The following is an 18508-nucleotide window of genomic DNA, read 5'->3' as shown; positions in this document are numbered from 1 at the left end:
ACACAAAAAATTAGCTGGGCTTGGTGGCATGCTCCTGTAATCCCAGCTACTAGGGAGGCTAGGGCAGGAGAATTGCTTGAACCCGGGAGGCAGAGTTTGCAGTGAGCCGAGATTGTAGCATTGCACTCCAGCCTGGGCAACAGGGTGAGACTTCATCTCAAAAAAAAAAAAGAAAGAAAAGAAGCCGCAAGGCCCCAGGATAGAGGACTTCAAACTTTGTTTTGGTGCTACCAAAAGTGTTTTTGAAAACTGTCTCCTCATCATATCAAATATTTTCATCACATAAATTGAAAAAAGTGTATTATTATTATTTTTTTTGAGATGGAGTCTTGCTCTGTCACCCAGGCTAGAGTGCAGTGGTGCAGTCTTGGCTCACTGCAACCTCTGCCTCCCAGGTTCAAACAATTCTCCTGCCTCAGCCTCCTGAGTAGCTGGGATTACAGGCGCCCGCCATCACACCCAGGTTTCACCATGTTGGCCAGGCTGGTCTCAAACTCCTGACCTGAAGTGATCCGCCTGCCTTTCCTCCCAAAGAGCTGGGATTACAGGCCAAGCCACTGCACCCGGCCATGGCTACTAAGTTCTTAGGACATAAATACTTGGGTTGTTTAGACCTCACCTGATGAGGAATTGAACAGTTAGGTATTTATTTGGGGCTGCTATGAAGAAATGACGGCTGGTACATTGAGCAAGTTCAGGGTGATCTGCACAGGGCACAGGGGTTGAGAGCCTGGGCTCTGGGCTCAGAAGACCTTGGTTTGCCACCTCACTTTGCCATTCCTGGGCTCTGTGCAACCTCTGTGCCTGTAAAATGGGACTCGTTCAGAGTTATGGGATTAGTGACAAAAGCCCTTGTAAAATATTCAGACAATCCCTGGCCTGTCTTAGGAGGCAATAAATGTTAGCTTTATGAATTTATTTATTTAACCAAAATGGACTCATTCTATGTACATATTTCTACCAGTTTTTTTTTTCTTCACTTACTATTACCTGGGCATTTTTTCCAGCCTCCCCAAAGGGACCTAGATTGTTTTTTCTAATAAATGCACAATTTGACTGTTACTTCCCTCTTCCTCAGTCTGCACCCTTCAGTTTTGTTTTTTGTTTTGTTTTTGTTTTTGTTTTTTTTTGAGACAGAGTCTTGCTGTGTCTTGCACCCCAGGCTGGAGTGCAGTGGCACGATCTCAGCTCACTGCAACTTCCACCTCCCGGGTTCAAGCGATTCTCCTGCCTCAGCCTCCCAAGTAGTTGGAACTACAGGTGTGCACCACCATGCCCAGCTAATTTTTGTATTTTTAGTAGGGATAGGGTTTTGCCGTGTTGGCCAGGCTGGTCTCAAACTCCTGATCTTAGGCAGTCCACCTGCCTTGGCCTCCCAAAGTGCTGGGATTACAGGCGCGAGCCACTGGCGCCTGACCTCAGGGTCTTTTTAAAATAAGAATTTCCAAGACCTTGAGGTTCCCTGGGCTCCCCTAAACCTGGGATACAGACCTACAAAAGCCTGCCCTTTCCTCATCAGAAAATAGGTCCTTGTTCTCCTCTCCCAGACCCTCACCCTGTAGTTACTTTTCCCTCTTCTGGGGAAGGAGTTCCATTTCCTCCTCCTAGCATTTGAAGTCTCTGTGTCCTGCCCTGGCAAGGCCCCTTGCAGGGTAAATCTCAGTTCTGCCACCTCCATGTCTCGCGACCCAGGACAGGTCCCTCAATTTTCCTGAGCTTCAGTTTCCTAATCTGTATCACAGGGATAAAATAATAGAACCCGCATCCCTGGGCTGCTGTGACACTTTCAGAGGTTAGCCCCTAAGGCTATGAAGAATCTGCCTTAAAGTGTGCAGGCTCCCCGGGCAGTGGCAGTGGGGAGGGCTGCCTGGCTAGAGGCCCCCTTTGCATGAGCTGCCCCCCTCCATCCTCATCAAGGGGTCTAACACCCAGTCACCACTCTCTCTTTTGAGAAACTTTGCCACAAACAGGACAAAGAGCTGTGAAGTCACAGAGGCTTGAGCTGGAAGTTTATCTGCAGTTTGGATGCTGTGCGACTTGGGAAAATTAAACACCCTCCCTGATCCTTGCTTTCCTCCTCCTCTACCTTGGCTGGGTCTCATCTAGCAGTTGATTTAGAGATCAGGTGTGTGAAGCACTTAACAGGGGTCTGACAAGCAGTAGGGCTGATATTAGCAGTTATTCACATTGTTATTGTTATTCCTTTCTCCTTAGGTGGGGGCGGAGGGGGCACGTTTTGGTGGTGGAGGGAGGACACATGGTAGATGCATTGAATTCTAGATTTTTTCTGCCCTCTAGTGGGCATGAGGAGCCACAGCTCTGGGAAAAGGAAAATACATCCACCCTTTAAACAGTTACGTGAATTCATTCTTTTTTTTTTTTGGTAAGACGGAGTCTCGCTCTGTCACCACCCAGGCTGGAGTGCAATGGCACGATATTGGCTCACTGCAATCTCCACCTCCTGGGTTCAAGCAATTCTCCTGCCTCAGCCTCCCGAGTAGTTGGGACTACAGGCGTGCGCCACCACACCCGGCTCATTTTTTGTATTTTTAGTAGAGACAGGGTTTCACCATGTTGGCCAGGGTGGTCTCAAACTCCTGACCTCAGGTAATCCACCAGCCTCGGCCTCACAGAGTGCTGGGATTATAGGTGTGAGCCACGGCGCACGGCCCTTTCTTTTGTTTAATAAACCTTCTCGAGCCCCTTCTCCATACTGGAGACCCAGCAGTGACCATGACAATACTGGACCTGCCCTCTTGGGACTCAAAGTCCAGTGGGGGAGAGAGAACTGACAACCCCAAGGGGACACCCGACCCAGTCCACGTGCTTTAGACTGGATGAAACCAGGGAGAAGGGTTGGCCAGAGCTTTCTTTCCAGATCTGGAGCACATGGTGAAGGGCTGGGTGTTGTCTTGAGGGCACTGGGGAGCCATAGCAGGTTCCAGGCAGGGGGAGGAACAGGGGCAAATTTGTGCTGCCATGGGTGAAATGGGTGGGATGGGGGAAGACTGGGGATGGGAGACCTAGGGCTGAGAGGGGGATAAGGAGGCGCCTGGATAAGGGGTGGGGCCATGGGTGGGGGAATACCAGGGCGAAGCCCCTGGCTCGGAGGAGAGGGAGGGCCTCGCCCTCTTGTGGTCTAAGGGAGGAAAGGATGGTCTCCAGCCAGATGCCCCACCTCATTCAGGCCTTCCTCACTGGGGGCCCCATCTGGAGTTCTCCTGTGCACACCACAGCCCAGAGATTCCAGTAAGTCCGGCTGCCTGGGACAGGCCGCCAGGTCGGCCAAGGATGACCAAGAAAACACCATTTGGCCCCATCCTGGGGAGAAAGAATGGGCATTTGTGTGGCCAGGATTAGGGGTGGACTAGGGGAGGGGACGTGTCAGTGTGTGTGTGTGAGTGTGTGTCAGGGTCGGGGTGATGGTGTGTGTGGACATGTGAGAGGGTTTCAGTGGGTGTGGCATATGTGTGTGCAAAGGTGTGTGAATCGGTATGCTGGATGTGCAAGTGTGTGTGAACATGTCGGTGTATCTGGATGTGTGTGTTAGAATGTGACTAGGAGTGTGAGCATGATTGTGTGTTTTGTGAGTGTGTTGGCACCTGTGTAAGTCTGTGTGTGTAGGTGTGTGCCTATTAGTGTGACTGTGACACTAGCTGACAGGAGCCCACGGCCACACCTTGAACCCGACAACCCCTGCCCTCAGTCTCTGCAAGGACCCATCCTCAGCATGCTCCCAAATTTTGGGTGTCACCTTCAGTATAATCCTCACATATTGGGGACTTCCCAAATACAGGGTCACCAGCTTCTCATGTAGCCAAAACCAAATAAATGCAAAATGAGTAAAAACAAACACAAAAATGAAACCAATGTGAAGAAAGGAAAACATAAAACCAAAGAATGGGTGGGAGAGAATTGCAAACTAAAACGAGGATTTTAAATGGAAAACATGGCCAGGTGGGCAGCTCATGCCTATAATCCCAGCACTTTGGGAGGCCGAGGCAGGCAGATCACTTGAGGTCAAGAGTTCGAGACCAGCCTGCCCAACATGGTGAAACCCCGTCTCTACTAATAATACAAAAATTAGCTTGCGTGTTGGCGCGCGCCTGTAGTTCCAGTTGGGCAGGAGGCTGAGGTGAGAGGATGGCTTGAGCCTGGGAGGCGGAGCTTGCAGTGAGCTGAGATCAGGCCACTGCACTCCAGCCTGGGCGACAGAGGCAGACTCCGTTTCTAAATACATACATAAATAAATAGAAAACATTTACGTTTGGATATATCCCACTTCCTCACCTAACTGTCCCCACTCTTGTTCAGGTTCTGGCCCCCTGGTGGAAGTCGGGCAGGCACCCTCCCGGGGCTGACACTGGGGAGCAACATGAAGTCAAATTTTCATCCCATTTCTCAGATGAGGAAACTGAGGCTCAGAGGTGGGGAAGAGCTCGAACCCCGGTCTGTCGGCCCCTCTGATTGCCACCCCCTTGTCCCTCGGGCGGGTTAGACCCGATGTCGCGCTGGTCCCTACAACACCATCCCCAGGGGCTGAATGCTCAAGCCCCTCCGGCGGTTCAAGCAGGGAGAGGAGCGCCCGAGACACGCGGCTAGGAGGGAGGAAGGAGAGTTCCACAGACAACAGGCGACGCGCTCGTGTTCCCCACCAGGGGGCGCTGCAGGACCGCTGGCTAAAGCGCCGGCTCAGAACGCCCTGGCCCGGTGGCTTGGCCTAGTGGTCCTTAGCCTGGCTTGTATGTTAGAATCACTTGGGAGTGCTTAAAGATCCCAATCTTCAGGCCACACCCCAAAACAGCGGAATCAGAGTCCCTGGGAGTGGAGCCAGGGCATCGGTATTTTGCAAATCTTCCCCTAAGTGATTCCAAAAGTGCAGCCAGATTGGGAACCACTGACTTATAGAGGTTTTCATGACAATGCTAAGAGAACGAGATCCCTATTTTCAGGTACATAAGTGAAGGCCCCAACAGGTAATTAACCAGCCGAAGGTTGTAAGTGACAGCAGGGGCTGGGGGTGGGGTGAGCCCAGGCAACAGCACTGCAAATATCCCTCCCACACCAAGCCCTGTCCCCATCTCTTGTATGCCCCTGCCCCATCCCCCAGCTCCCCACTTTAGAAGCAATAATGTCCCCACTCGTCCTCTCCCTGGGAAGGTAAAGGCTAATTTGGAGTCAAGACTCCAGTTTTCTGGGGCGATTTCATCAAAAATCCTGCTGTCTGGGCTGGGTGCGGTGGCTCATGCTTGTAATCCCAGCACTTTGGGAGGCCAAGGCGGGTGGATCACTTGAGGTCAGGAGTTTGAGATCAGCCTGACCAACATGGCGAAACCCTGTCTCTACTAAAAATAGAAAAATTAGTTGGGCGTGGTGGCATGTGCCTGTAATCCCAGCTACTTAGGAGGCTGAGTCAGGAGAATTGCTTGAACCCGAGAGGCAGAGGTTGCAGTAAGCCAAGATCACACCACTGCCCTCCAGCCTGGGTGACAGAGTGAGACTCCACCTCAAAAAATAAAATAAAATAAAATAAAAAAGAAAATCCTGTTGTCTGAAACCATAACCATGAATTTGGGAACTGAATTTAATCCTCCTTGAGTTAAAAATAATGAATATTGTTGCTGCCATCTCTGGATTACAAAAGTGCCCATCTCATAGCTGAGCCCTTGGCTGATGCTCTTGTGGCGTCCCAGGGGCAGAGATGGTTGTGTCCATTCCAGAGAAACACAGATTTAGACTCTTCAGGTCTTTTCTCTGCCAGCTGTTGCCACAGGGCACACTGTGGGGCATGGTATCCAAGACGATTGCTATCAGTTCTCCTGCCCTATGAGCCCACTACCTTTCCCATCAAGAGATGGGATCTCTTTCTCCTCAGCTTGAATCTGGGCTAGCCTTACGACTTGGTTGGACCAATAGAATTCAGCACAAATGATGTGATACAAGTTCCAGGTGTAGCCCTTAAGAGACATGGCAGGATTCACCGCCTCCCTGTTAGAAGCCAGCCGCCATTGTTTAAAACTTCAGCTGAATTAAATTTAAAGTTTAATTGAACAATGAACAATTTGTGAATTGGGCAGCCCCCAGAATCACAGCAGATTCAGAGAGACTCCAGGGATGCCTCCTGGTCAGAACAAATTTATAGATTAAAAAAAAAGGGAAGTGGCTGGGCGCAGTGGCTCACACCTGTAATCCCAGCACTTTGGAAGGCCAAGGCGGGTGGATCACGAGGTCAAGAGGTGGAGACCATCCTGGCCAACATGGTGAAACTCCATCTCTACTAAAAATAAAAAAATTAGCTGGGCGTGGTGGTGCATGCCTGTAGTCCCAGCTACTCAGGAGGCTGAGGCAGGAGAATCCTTGAACCTGGGAGGCGGAGGTTGCAGTGAGCTGAGATCGCGCCACTGCACTACAGCCTGGCGACAGTGCAAGACTCCATCGCCAAAACACACACACACACACACAAAAACGGGAAGTGACATACAAAAATCAGCAGTGAGGTACAGAAACAGCAGGATTGGTTACATGTTGGTGTTTGCCTTATTTGAACACAGTTTGAATTAGGTTTTCGATCTTGTCTGCCTATTAAGCTAGGTTATAGCTTGTCCACAAGGACTCAAAAATAGAAGTATAGAATCCTTCTCGGGCCATATTTAGTTTGCTTTAACACCATGTAAGAAGCCTGACCCCTGTGATCCTGCCATGGTATGAGGAAGCCCAAGTCAGCCATGTGGACAGGCTGTGTGAAGAAAGAGATGCCAGACAGTCCCCAGCCATTAGAATCATCCCATCCGAGGTGCCAGACATCTTAAGTGAAGGAACCATCTTGGACATCCCTACCCTAATGGAAGCCCATCAAGCAGAAGAACCAGCCAGCTGAACCCAGTCCTGATTGCAAAATCAAGAGAAAAAATATACTGCCACTGCTTTAACCCACAAAGTTTTGGGGGTGGCATGTTTTATTGCAATAGATAACATCCACACGAAAACTCAAAACCAACCCATGGCTCCCATCTCACCCACAGCAAAACGAAACGTTTTTATCAGAGCAGTAGGGCCCTGAATGCCTCCCATTCCTGCATTGTTCTTTTGACTCTCCAATGGGCCAAGCTCCCCTAAGTGCCTTAGTACTTACTGCACACTGTACCTTGTCTCCCCATGTCTTGCCCCTCAGTTCCTTCTGCTCTCTGCTCCTGTGTCACCTTCTCACTGAGATCCTCTTTGAGCACCCCTGCACCCACTTTACACCATGTTAATATTACCTTGGCACTTACACTTGACATGTTATGTAGTTTATTTCTTCAAATATATATATATATATATATACACATACATATATACGTGTGTATATATATATATACACGTATACACACACACACACACACACACACACACACATATATATATATAGAGAGAGAGAGAGAGACAGACAGAGCCCCGCTCTGTCCCCAGGGCTGGAGTGCAGTGGTGCAATCTTGGCTCACTGCAGCCTTGACCTCCTCGGCTCAAGCTATTCTCCCACCTCAGCCTCCTGAGTAGATGGGGCTACAGGTGTGTGCCACCAGGCCCAGCTAATTTTTGTATTGTTTAGTAGAGATGGGGTTTCACCATGTTGCCCAGGCTGGTTTTGAACTCCTGGGCTCAAGTGATCTGCCCACCTTGGCCTCGCAAAGTGCTGGGATTACAGGCATGAGTCACTGTGCCCAGCCACTATATATATATATATATATATATATATATATATATATATATATATATATATATATATATATATATATTTTATCACTTATCCATGTCACCTGTGACATCAGTTCCATGAGGGCAGGGATTTTTGTGTTTTGTTTGATGCTATGTCCCCAGTACCTAGAACATGGTTTGGCACACAGTAGATGCTCAATAAGCATTTTTCCCTGCAGTAACTGAACTTGGTCTCCTCTCCCTAATACTCAGATCCCCATGGTGCCAGCCCCCACCCTCTTGGTACCCAGTATCATCTTTTTTTTTTTTTTTTTTGAGACGGAGTCTTGCTCTGTAGCCCAGGGTGGAGAGCAGTGGCATGATCTCAGCTCACTGCAACCTCCGTCTCCCAGGTTCAAGCAATTCTCCTGCCTCAGCCTCCCAAGTTGCTGGGATTACAGGCTCCCACCACCATGCCTGGCTAATTTTTGTATTTTTAGTAGAGATGGGGTTTCACCATGTTGGCCAGGTTGGTCTCGAACTCCTGACCTCAGACGATCCAACTGCCTTGGCCTCCCAAAGTGCTGGGATTACAGGCGTGAGCCACCGTGCCCGGCCCAGTATCATCTTTTTAAACAATTTTACTACAGGCTGGGCGCTGTGGCTCATGCCTGTAATCCCAGCACTTTGGGAGGCCGAGGCGGGCGGATCACGAGGTCAGGAGATCGAGACCATCCTGGCTAATACGGTGAAACCCCGTCTCTACTAAAAATACAAAAAATTAGCTGGGCGTGGTGGTGGGCACCTGTAGTCCCAGCTACTTGGGAGGCTGAGGCAGGAGAATGGCGTGAACCCAGGAGGCGAACCTTGCAGTGAGCAGAGATCATGCCACTGCACTCCAGCCTAGGTGACAGAGCAAGACTCTATCTCAAAACAAACAAACAAACAAAAAACAATTTTACTACAGTCCTTCCAACACTTTATTACAAAAACTTTCAAACATAGAGCAAAGTTGAAAGATTTCACAACAAGCGCCCCTATCCCCACCTCCTAGATTCTACCATTGACATTTTATCATGCCTGCTGTATCACAGGTGTGGCTGTATCCCATATCCATCAAGCCATCTTTTCTTGTGCATTTCAAAATAAATTATAGATTATCTGTCCACTGCCCTCTTAATGCTTCATATCATTAACTAAGGTTTAATATTTGTTCTTTTGAGAGAAGAATGTAAAATACACACAATAAAATGCACAGATCTCAGGTATAAATTCACTGAGTTTTGACAAATACATACCCCTGAAAAACCAAATGCCTGTCAAAATACAGAACTCAGGCCAGGTACGGGGGCTCATGCCTGTAATCCCAGTACTTTGGGAGGCCGAGGCGGGAGGACTGCTTGAGTCCATGAGTTTGAGACTAGCTTGGGCAACATGGCAGAAGCCTGTCTCTACAAAAACATACAAAAATTAGCTGGGTGTGATGGTGTGCCTGTCATCCCAGCTACTCAGGAGGCTGAGGTGGGAGAATTGCTTGAGGCCGGGAGGCTGAGGTTGCAGTGTGAGCTGAGATCGCTCCACTGCACTCCAGCCTGGGTGACAGAGTGAGACTCCATCTCAAAAAAAAAAAAAAAATACCGAACACCCCATCATCCCAGAAAGTTCCTGCATGTTCCTTTCCAGCCAGTCCCCGAACTCCAGAGGCAAGCACTGCTCTGATTTTTTTCCACCATAGGTTATAGTTTTGCCTGTCCTAGAATGTCATACAAATGGAATCATAGAAAGATGTATGCTTTTAGCTAAGTGCGGTGGCTCACACCTGTAATCTTAGCACTTTGGGAGGCCGAGGCGGGTGGATCACCTGAAGTTGGGAGTTTGAGACCAGCCTGACCAACATGGAGAAACCCCGTCTCTACTAAAAATACAAAATTAGCCAGGCATGGAGGTGCATGCTTGCAATCCCAGCTACTCGGGAGGCTGAGGCAGCAGAATTACTTGAACCCAGGAGGCGGAGGTCGTGGTGAGTTGAGATTGTGCCATTGCACTCCCACCTGGGCAACAAGAGCAAAACTCCCATCTCAAAAAAAAAAAAGATGTACACTTTTGTGTCTTGCTTCTTTACTCATGAGGCTATCTTGAACTTAAACCAGGGTCTTTTTCCAAGGAAAAGCTTTTTCTGGCATTGTCCATCTCTTGACTAATTCCTTCCTTCTCAGGCCGGTGTCCCAAGGGTCCAGTCATGCAAACTATTTGAAAAACTAAAGACTTTTTTATGTGGTCCCCTGGGATACTCTGGTCTTTGGAGACCTCTTCATTCCTTGTCTTAAAGCAGACCCTGGTCAACTTGGGTCACTAGCTGTTTCCTCCCAGGAGTGGTGTTTTTTTTGTTTTGTTTTGTTTTGTTTTAACGGAGCTTCCCTCTTGTCATCCAGGCTGGAGTGCAGCAGTGGCACGATCTTGGCTCACTACAATCTCCACCTTCTGGGTTCAAGTGATTCTCCTGCCTCAGCCTCCTGAATAGCTGGGATTACAGGTGCCCGCGCCGTGCCCAGCTAATTTTTGTATTTTTACTAAGACGGGGTTTTACCATGTTTGCCAGGCTGGTCTCAAACTCCTGACCTCAAGTGATCCGCCCTCCTCGGCCTCCCAAAGTGCTGGGATTACAGGCGTGAGCCGCGGGGCCCCGCCCCAGGAGTGGGTTTTATCCCTTGGGACCTTGATTTTGTTTCTCACAACCCCTCCGGCCCCCCAGAGCCATTACTCGTCCTACAGCACCTCATGTGTCTCCTCCTTGGTGCATGTCACATCTTACTGAATGCTTGCTTTTATTGTTTTTCATTTGTGTGTGTGTGTGTGTGTGTGTGTGTGTGTGTGTGTGTGTGTTTTGAGACAGAGTCTCATTCTGTCGCTCAGGCTGGAGTGCAGTGGTGCGATCTCAGCTCACTGCAACCTCTACTTTCTGGGGTTTAAGTGATTCTTCTGCCGCAGCCCCCTGTGTAGCTGGGATTGCAGGCACCCACCATCATGCCCGGCTAACTTTTGCTTTTTTAGTAAAGATGGGGTTTCGCCATGTTGGCCAGGCTAGTCTCGAACTCCTGACCTCAGGTGATCCACCGGCCTCGGCCTCCCAAAGTGTTGGAATTACAGGCGTGAGCCACTGCGCCCAGCCCAGCTTTTTGTTTTCTTTTGCAAATAGTGGGTTAACATTTTTTAGCATTTTCTAAGGTGGAACATGATGAGGCTTGACTAAGGTTGAAATCCATATTTCATGGTCCGCTCTAGTGTGAATGGAATCACTGATACACTTCATCCTATATCTTGCTTCTCTGCAACAATAGAACATGGCCAGTTGCCAGGAAATACATTGGGACCCAGCTCACTGTTTTTCATCATCACATGAAAATCCACAGAAAGTCTGTGAAGTAATTTATTCACTCTTTTCATCATTATGAATTCGTAGTTATTAGTGGTTCATATCTGATCTCCCTATGATGTCAGCCAGGCCCTGGTCTGATGTAGTCACAGTCATATCCCACACGTGTGGGTTCTTTGTGTTTGCTAAATGATTAAATGAACAAATGAATGAATGAGTGCTGAGGAGGGATGGTGCTGCTGAAAGTCTGCCTAGTATCCCTGTTAGAATCAGAGGTTTGGAGCCAGACACGGTGGTTCACGCCTGTAATCCCAGCACTTTGGGAGGCCAAAGCGGGCAGATTATGAGGTCAAGAGATCGAGACCATCCTGGCCAACATGGTGAAACCCCGTCTCTACTAAAAATACAAAAGTTAGCTGGACGTGGTGGCAGGTGGCTGTAATCCCAGCTACTTGGGAGGCTGAGGCAGGAGAATCACTTGAACCCAGGAGGCGGAGGTTGCAGTGAGCCGAGATCACGCGACTGCGCTCCAGCCTGCTCACAGAGCAAGACTCCATCTCAAAAACAAACAAACAAACAAACAAAAGAATCAGAGGTTTGGAGTCACAGAGACCTGAGGTCAAATTGATGTCTCACCACTTCCCAGTTGTAAAAGACCTTCCACCCTGCGTGTGTGTGCACACACACACAGCCTCAGATTTCTCATCTGGGAAATAGAGATAATAATGGGGCTGGCTTTACATGACTGTGGTGAAGATTAAATGAAGCAATATATTAAAGGCTATTCTAGCCAATGTCTGGCATAAGATCATCCCTTGGCATGGTGTGTGTGATGTTATAATTCCTCCTTTCCTTTCTTCCTCCATCTGTTCAATACAAGATTTACTGAGCACCATGTTATACTATCCTCTTTGTATTATAGAAATGTTATTCACATTTAACAATATATTATTGGAGCAACAGAAAGAGCTAAAATACCTTTAGGAATTGCATTGGGCTCTGTTCAAAAAAGTCAACAATTAGCCGGGTGCGGTGGCTCACGCCTGTAATCCCAGCACTTTGGGAGGCCAAGGCGGGCGGATCACAGGTCAGGAGATCGAGACCATCCTGGCTAACACAGTGAAACCCTGTCTCTACTAAAAATACAAAAAATTAGCCGGGTGTGGTGGCGGGCGCCTGTAGTTCCAGCTACTCAGGAGGCTGAGGCAGGAGAACGGCGTGAACCCAGGAGGCAGAGCTTATAGTGAGCCGAGATAGTGCCACTGCACTCCAGCCTGTGCAACAGAGCGAGACTGTCTAAAAAAAAAAAAAAAGTCAACAGTTGTGGTGGTAAAAGCACAAACAGCAATGAGAAAATGGGAAAACACTATGAACAGGATATTTAAAGAAGGGGATTTCCAAATAAACTAAAAAAGAGATGTGCAAACTCATTTGTAGTTGGAGAACAATGAGCTACCACCTTATGCCCATGAGATGGGCAAATCCTAGAAGCCTGGACAATCTCCAGAGGTGGGAGTGGGCACTGGGGGCACAGGAATCCTCATATGTGAGCAAATAGGGACATTCATTGCACTGAGTGACTTGTAGGACTTGGTAGAGTTAGGAATACGCAGACCCTAGTCAGGCGCAGTGGCCCATGCTGTAATCCGGCACTTTGAGAGGCTTAGGAAGGAGAATTGCTTGAGCCCAGGAGTTCGAGACCAGCCCAGACAACATAGTGAGACCCTATCTCTACAAAAATTTTTTTAAAATAAGCAAGACGTGGTGGTGCATACCTGTAGTCTCAGCTACCCAGGAGGCTAAGGCAAGAGGATCACCTGAGTGCAGGAAGTCAAGGCTGTTGTGAGCCATGATGGCTACTGTCACTCGGTGACAAAAATAAATAAATAAATAAAGGAATATGCAGACCCAAGCAATTCTGCTCCTGGGACCTATGCCAAGGGCAGTCTCAGTGTCTCATTCTCATTCAACATCATAAGAAAATGTGTACAAGAACATTTATGGTAGAGTATTTGTGCTGTGTGTATGTGGGAGCAGGAGATGGATCTGGGTGTGCACTGGTTACTTTCGCTGTGTAACAAACCAACCCTCACTTAGTGTCATAAAGCAGCAACATCTCATTATGCCCATAGATTCCATGGGTCCATAGTTATGAAAGGGGATGGCTTCTTTTGGCCCCATAATGTGTGGGGCCACAGCTGGGATGACCCCAATGGCTAGGGTCTGGAATCATCTGGAAGCTTCATCACTCATATGTCCGGTGCCTGGTTTGAGATGATTTGAAGACTGGACTTAGTTGGAGCTGTTGACTTGAGCACCTACATGCAGAGCTCTCCATGTGAGTTGGGCTTCCTCACGGCATGGCAGCTAAGTTCCAAGCAGTAATTATTCCAGAAGAACCAGGCAAAAGCCTTTTATAACTAACCTTGGAAGTCACCTAGCATCCAGCTAACCTTGAAAGACACAGAGCAAGTGGATGTACACTAGCAGTTGAGGTAGTCACAAACTCACCCAGATTCAGCTTCAAGGAAAGAGGAGGTAGATCTCACCTCTCAGCAGAGTTAAAGAACTTGCAGCAATGTTTAACAACCATGCAGCCCCATTCAGCAGGTGAAATTACCAGCAAGATACAGAACTGGGATCAATCTTAGACACGTTACTGCTGAGTGCTAAAAAAAAAAAAAAAGAAAGAAAACCGCACACACACACACACACACACACACACACACACACACACACACACAAAAACCATGAGAAACAAAAAGAGATAGATCATGGAAAACAAGTTATGCAAATTTAGCCTAGATGCCCCCAAACAGCAATGCACATTTTGCAGGAACACATGAAAATAAAAGGACAGCCATCACAAAATGAAAAGTGAAAAGGAATGGGAGAGGGGGATGAAGATAAAATGGCATTTCTAAGACGTGGAGGCAGGCGGAGTTGACAGCTCCTTGGATGTAAACGTGTTGAAAGGCAGACCTGCCATTCGTCACCCTCCAGACACACGGGAGGTAAATTGATTTTGTGTTGAGGATGTGCTGATCTGGTTTCCCTGGCAACACTGCTCTGAGGCGAAAAGAGAGGAGCAGAAAGACAACGGAGGGGAGATGGGAGATGAGTCTGCAGTGCACCTAACTCCCATGATTCAACTGTAACTTGCTGGAGAAACACGCACACACACACATGCACACACACACGCACACACACATGCACACACACACGCACACACACACATGCACACACACACGCACGCACACACACGCCCGGCTGAAAAATATGGTTTTTCTGTTTTGGGCCCTAGGGAACATTGTGTTATATTCTCGAGTATGTATATTCTCCAACGATTTGGTCTCAGGACCTCTCAAATTATTAAGAATTATCAAGGACCCTAAAGAGCGTTTGTTTATGTGGGTTATATGTGTCGATATTTACTCTATTAGGAATCTCTCCTGATAAATTAAAAGAATATGGTATTTGTTAACCCTTTCAAAAATAGTGAGCCATGATTGAGCCATTGCACCCCACCTGGGTGACAGAGTAAGACCCTGTCTCAAAAAAAAAAAAAAAAAAAAAACGAGAGAGAGAGAAAAGAATAGACCCTGAGCCCCAGGCCCCGTGCACGTAAGATCTAACGGTGACCAGCCAAGTAGGGCCATCTGGAGCCTGAAAATCTCCTGCCTAGTAACAAACATGTTACACACTCATGTAGATAACATATATAAATAGGTTTTTTTTTTTTGAGACAGGGTCTCACTCTGTTTCCCAGGCTGAAGTGCGGTGGCACAATCATGGTTCACTGCAGCCTCAAACCTCCCAGGTTCAAGCAATTCTCCTACCTCAGCCTCCCCAGTAGCTGGTATTACAGGCATGGGCCACCACAACTGACTAATTTTTCTCGTATTTTTTGTAGAGATGGGGTCTCCTTATGTTGTCCAGGCTGGTCTCGAACTCCTGGGCTCAGGCAATCCTCCTGTCTTGGTCTCCCAAAGTACTGGGATAACAGGTATGAGCCACCTTGCCTAGCCCTAAAAATAGATATATTTCCCAAAACAAAACAAAGTTAGTGAGAAGAGTGGCACTGTAGTATTTTGGTGTTTTTCAACTCACTTTGATATCTGGCTCAACAATCCTTGACCTGCCTCCTGGTTCAGTCAGCTGCAATACGGCACGGCATGTAGCCTCTGGAAAATTCCACTGAACACTGGTAAGAGAGTAAGAGTGAAAAGACAAATAATGGTTTAGTATTATGAAAATGGTTTTTATCTGATGGATGCCCTGGAATGTCCTTGCAACCCGTAGAGGTCCCCAGACCACACTTTGAGAACCCTTGCTCTGGCCGGGGGCGGTGGCTCACACCTGTAATCCCAGCACTTTGGGAGGCTGAGGCGGGCGGATCACGAGGTCAGGAGATTGAGATCATCCTGGCTAACACGGTGAAACCCCGTCTCTACTAAAAAAATTAAAAAATTAGCCGGATGTGGTGGCAGGCACCTGTAGTCCCAGCTACTTGGGAGGCTGAGGGAGGAGAATGGCGTGAACCCGGGAGGCGGAGCTTGCAGTGAGCTGAGATTGCGCCACTGCACTCCAGCCTGGGCAACAGAGTGAGACTCCGTCTCGAAAAAAAAAAAACGAAAACAAAGAAAGAGAACCCTTGCTCCAATAGCGCCATTTCCAGTTAAGCAGATTCACTTGTATTTTTCTCGAACACAAAATGAGGGGGAGAAGAATTTCGAACAATTTTTTCAAGCGATCCTCCCACCTCAGTCTCCTGAGTTGCTGGGACTCCAAGTGCATGCCATCAGGCCCAGCTAATTTTTGTATTTTTAGTAGAGACGGGGTTTCACCATGTTGTCCAGGCTGGTCTTGAACTCCTGGCCTCATGTGATCCACCCGCCTCGGTCTCCCAAAGTGCTGGGATTACAGGCGTGAGCCACCACGCCCGGCCTTGAACGCTTTACGCCCTTTCTTCCAGCTGTTTCCATTGGAACCTTACAGGCAGTGGCTTGGTCAGTCATAGGCTCATCTCTGCCTAAGAAGAGATCATGATTCCAGGGGAAATGCCCAGGGCGGGACTGGGCAGGACATGTTGGGGATCCTGATGTCCCTGCCTGGCTGGTCCCTGTAAGATCTTCTGTGCACAGGGCTTGGGGTTCATAGTCTATCCTTTTTTTTTTTTTTCTTTTTTTTTGAGACAGGGTCTTACTCTGTCATCCAGGCTGGAGTGCAGTGGCTCAGTCATGGCTCACTGCAGCCTCGACCTGGCAGGCCCAAGCAATCCTCCCACCTCAGCCTCCTGAGTAGCTGGGATTACAGGCACCTGCCAACATGACCAGCTAATTTTTCTTTTCTTTTTTTTTTTTTCAGACGGGAGTCTCACTCTGTTGCCCAGGCTGGAGTGCAGTGGCGCAATCTCGGCTCACTGCAAGCTCTGCCTCCCGGGTTCACACCATTCTCCTGCCTCAGCCTCCCAAGTGGCTGGGACTACAGGTGCCCACCACCACACCTGGCTAATTTTGCGTATTTTTAGTAGAGACGGGGTTTCACTGTGTTAGCCAGGATGGTCTTGATCTCCTGACCTCATGATCCACCCACTTCAGCCTCCCAAAGTGCTGGGATTACAGGCATGAGCCACCATGCCTGGCCATGACCAGCTAATTTTGGTATTTTTGGTAGAGATGGGGTTTCACCATGTTGGGCAGGCTGGTCTTGAACTCCTGGCCTCAAGTGATCTGCCTGCCTTAACCTCCCAAAGTGCTGGGATTACAGGTGTGAGCCACCACACACAGCCCAACATATGAATTTTATTTTATTTTATTTTATTTTATTTTATTTTATTTTATTTTATTTATTTATTTAGAGACAGTCATGCCTGTCACCCAGGCTGGAGTTCAGTGGTACAATCTCAGCTCACTGCAACCTCCGCCTTCCAGGTTCAAGCGGTTCTCCTGCCTCAGCCTCCTGAATAGCTGGGATTCCAGCCACTCACCATCACACCTGGCTAATTTTTGTATTTTTAGTAGAGATGGGGTTTCGCCATGTTGGCCAGGCTGGTCTCGAACTCCTGACCACAAGCAATCCACCTGCCTCAGCCTCCCAGAATGATGGGATTACACGCGTGAGCCACCACACCCAGGCTCCAACATATGAATTTTAAAGAGACATAATTCAGCCTCTGTACCTTTGGGTCCTCTTATAAACCAGACGCTCTCCTGGGGAGTCCCCTCTGCATTCCAGCGTGCCACCTCATCCTGTCCCACGGTGAGAATGAAATCTTTGTCCCAGTAACACTCAGGGCCAGGCACTGTTCCAACACACACACACACACACACACACACACACACACACACACACACATCCCGCTTAAATCCTCACAACCTCACGATAAACTGGGGCCACAGAGCCATGAAGAGACAAAGTGACTTGCTTGGTTATTGGGCAAATGTAAAAGACTAACCCGGATGGCACTTTGATCTTGGACTTCCAGACTCTGGAACTGGGAGAAAATAGATTTCTGTTATCTAAGCCATCCAGCCTGTGACACTGTTGAAAAATCAGTCTACAATGATCTGGGTCCAGAACCTAACTCCATTTTAGCACTTACAGCGGCTTTGTGGGAAGTAGGAAAGACTCTTGCTCTGCGTTGACCATTGCTAAAAGCATCCCTTCAGCCCCTCAAATGACTCAACATAGAGTTACCATGTGCCCCGGGATTCCTCTCCTAAAAGTGTCTGCCCAAGAGAAATGAAAACATATGTCTACATAGAAATTTGCACACAGCATATCCATCATGCTCCTATGTTCCTAGCATATTCATGATAGCCCAAAAGTGCAAACAACCCAAATGTCCATCAACTGATGAATGGATAAAGAAAATTTGATTTATCCATTCCATGGAACATTGCTCAGCCATAAAAAGAATGGAGGCTGGGTGCAGTGGCTCACACCTGAAATCCCAGCACTTTAGGAGACCGAGATGGGCAGATGGGCAGGCAAACTCCTGAGGTCAGGAGTTTGAGACCAGCCTGGCCAACATGGTGAAACCCTGTCTGTACTAAAAATACAAAAATAACTGGGTGTGGCGGTGGGTGCCTGTAATCCCAGCTACTCGGGAGGCTGAGGCAGGTGAACTCGGAGAACTCCTTGAACTCGGGAGGCAGAGGTTGCAGTGAGCTGAGATTGTGCCACTGCACCCCAGCCTGGGTGACAGAGCGAGACTCTGTCTCTAAATAAATGGAACAGAGTATTGGATGACACTTGCCACACAACACTGAACAAATGATGCTGAGTGAAAGAAGCCAGACACAAAGGAACAACATATTGTATGACTCCATTCATATGAAATGTCCAGAATGGGGAAGTCCGTAGAGACAGAAAGCAGATTAGTGGTTGCCGGGGGCTGGGGGGAGATTAGAGGGTTGGAGGGTGATGGCTAAGCAGTGTGGGATTTCTTTTTGAGGT

The sequence above is a fragment of the Homo sapiens genome, chromosome 19 (genome assembly GCF_000001405.40).
Source record: "Homo sapiens chromosome 19, GRCh38.p14 Primary Assembly".
NCBI lineage: Eukaryota > Metazoa > Chordata > Mammalia > Primates > Hominidae > Homo > Homo sapiens.
The sequence above is the reverse complement of the archived record's forward strand: the minus strand, read 5'-3'. Positions refer to the sequence as shown.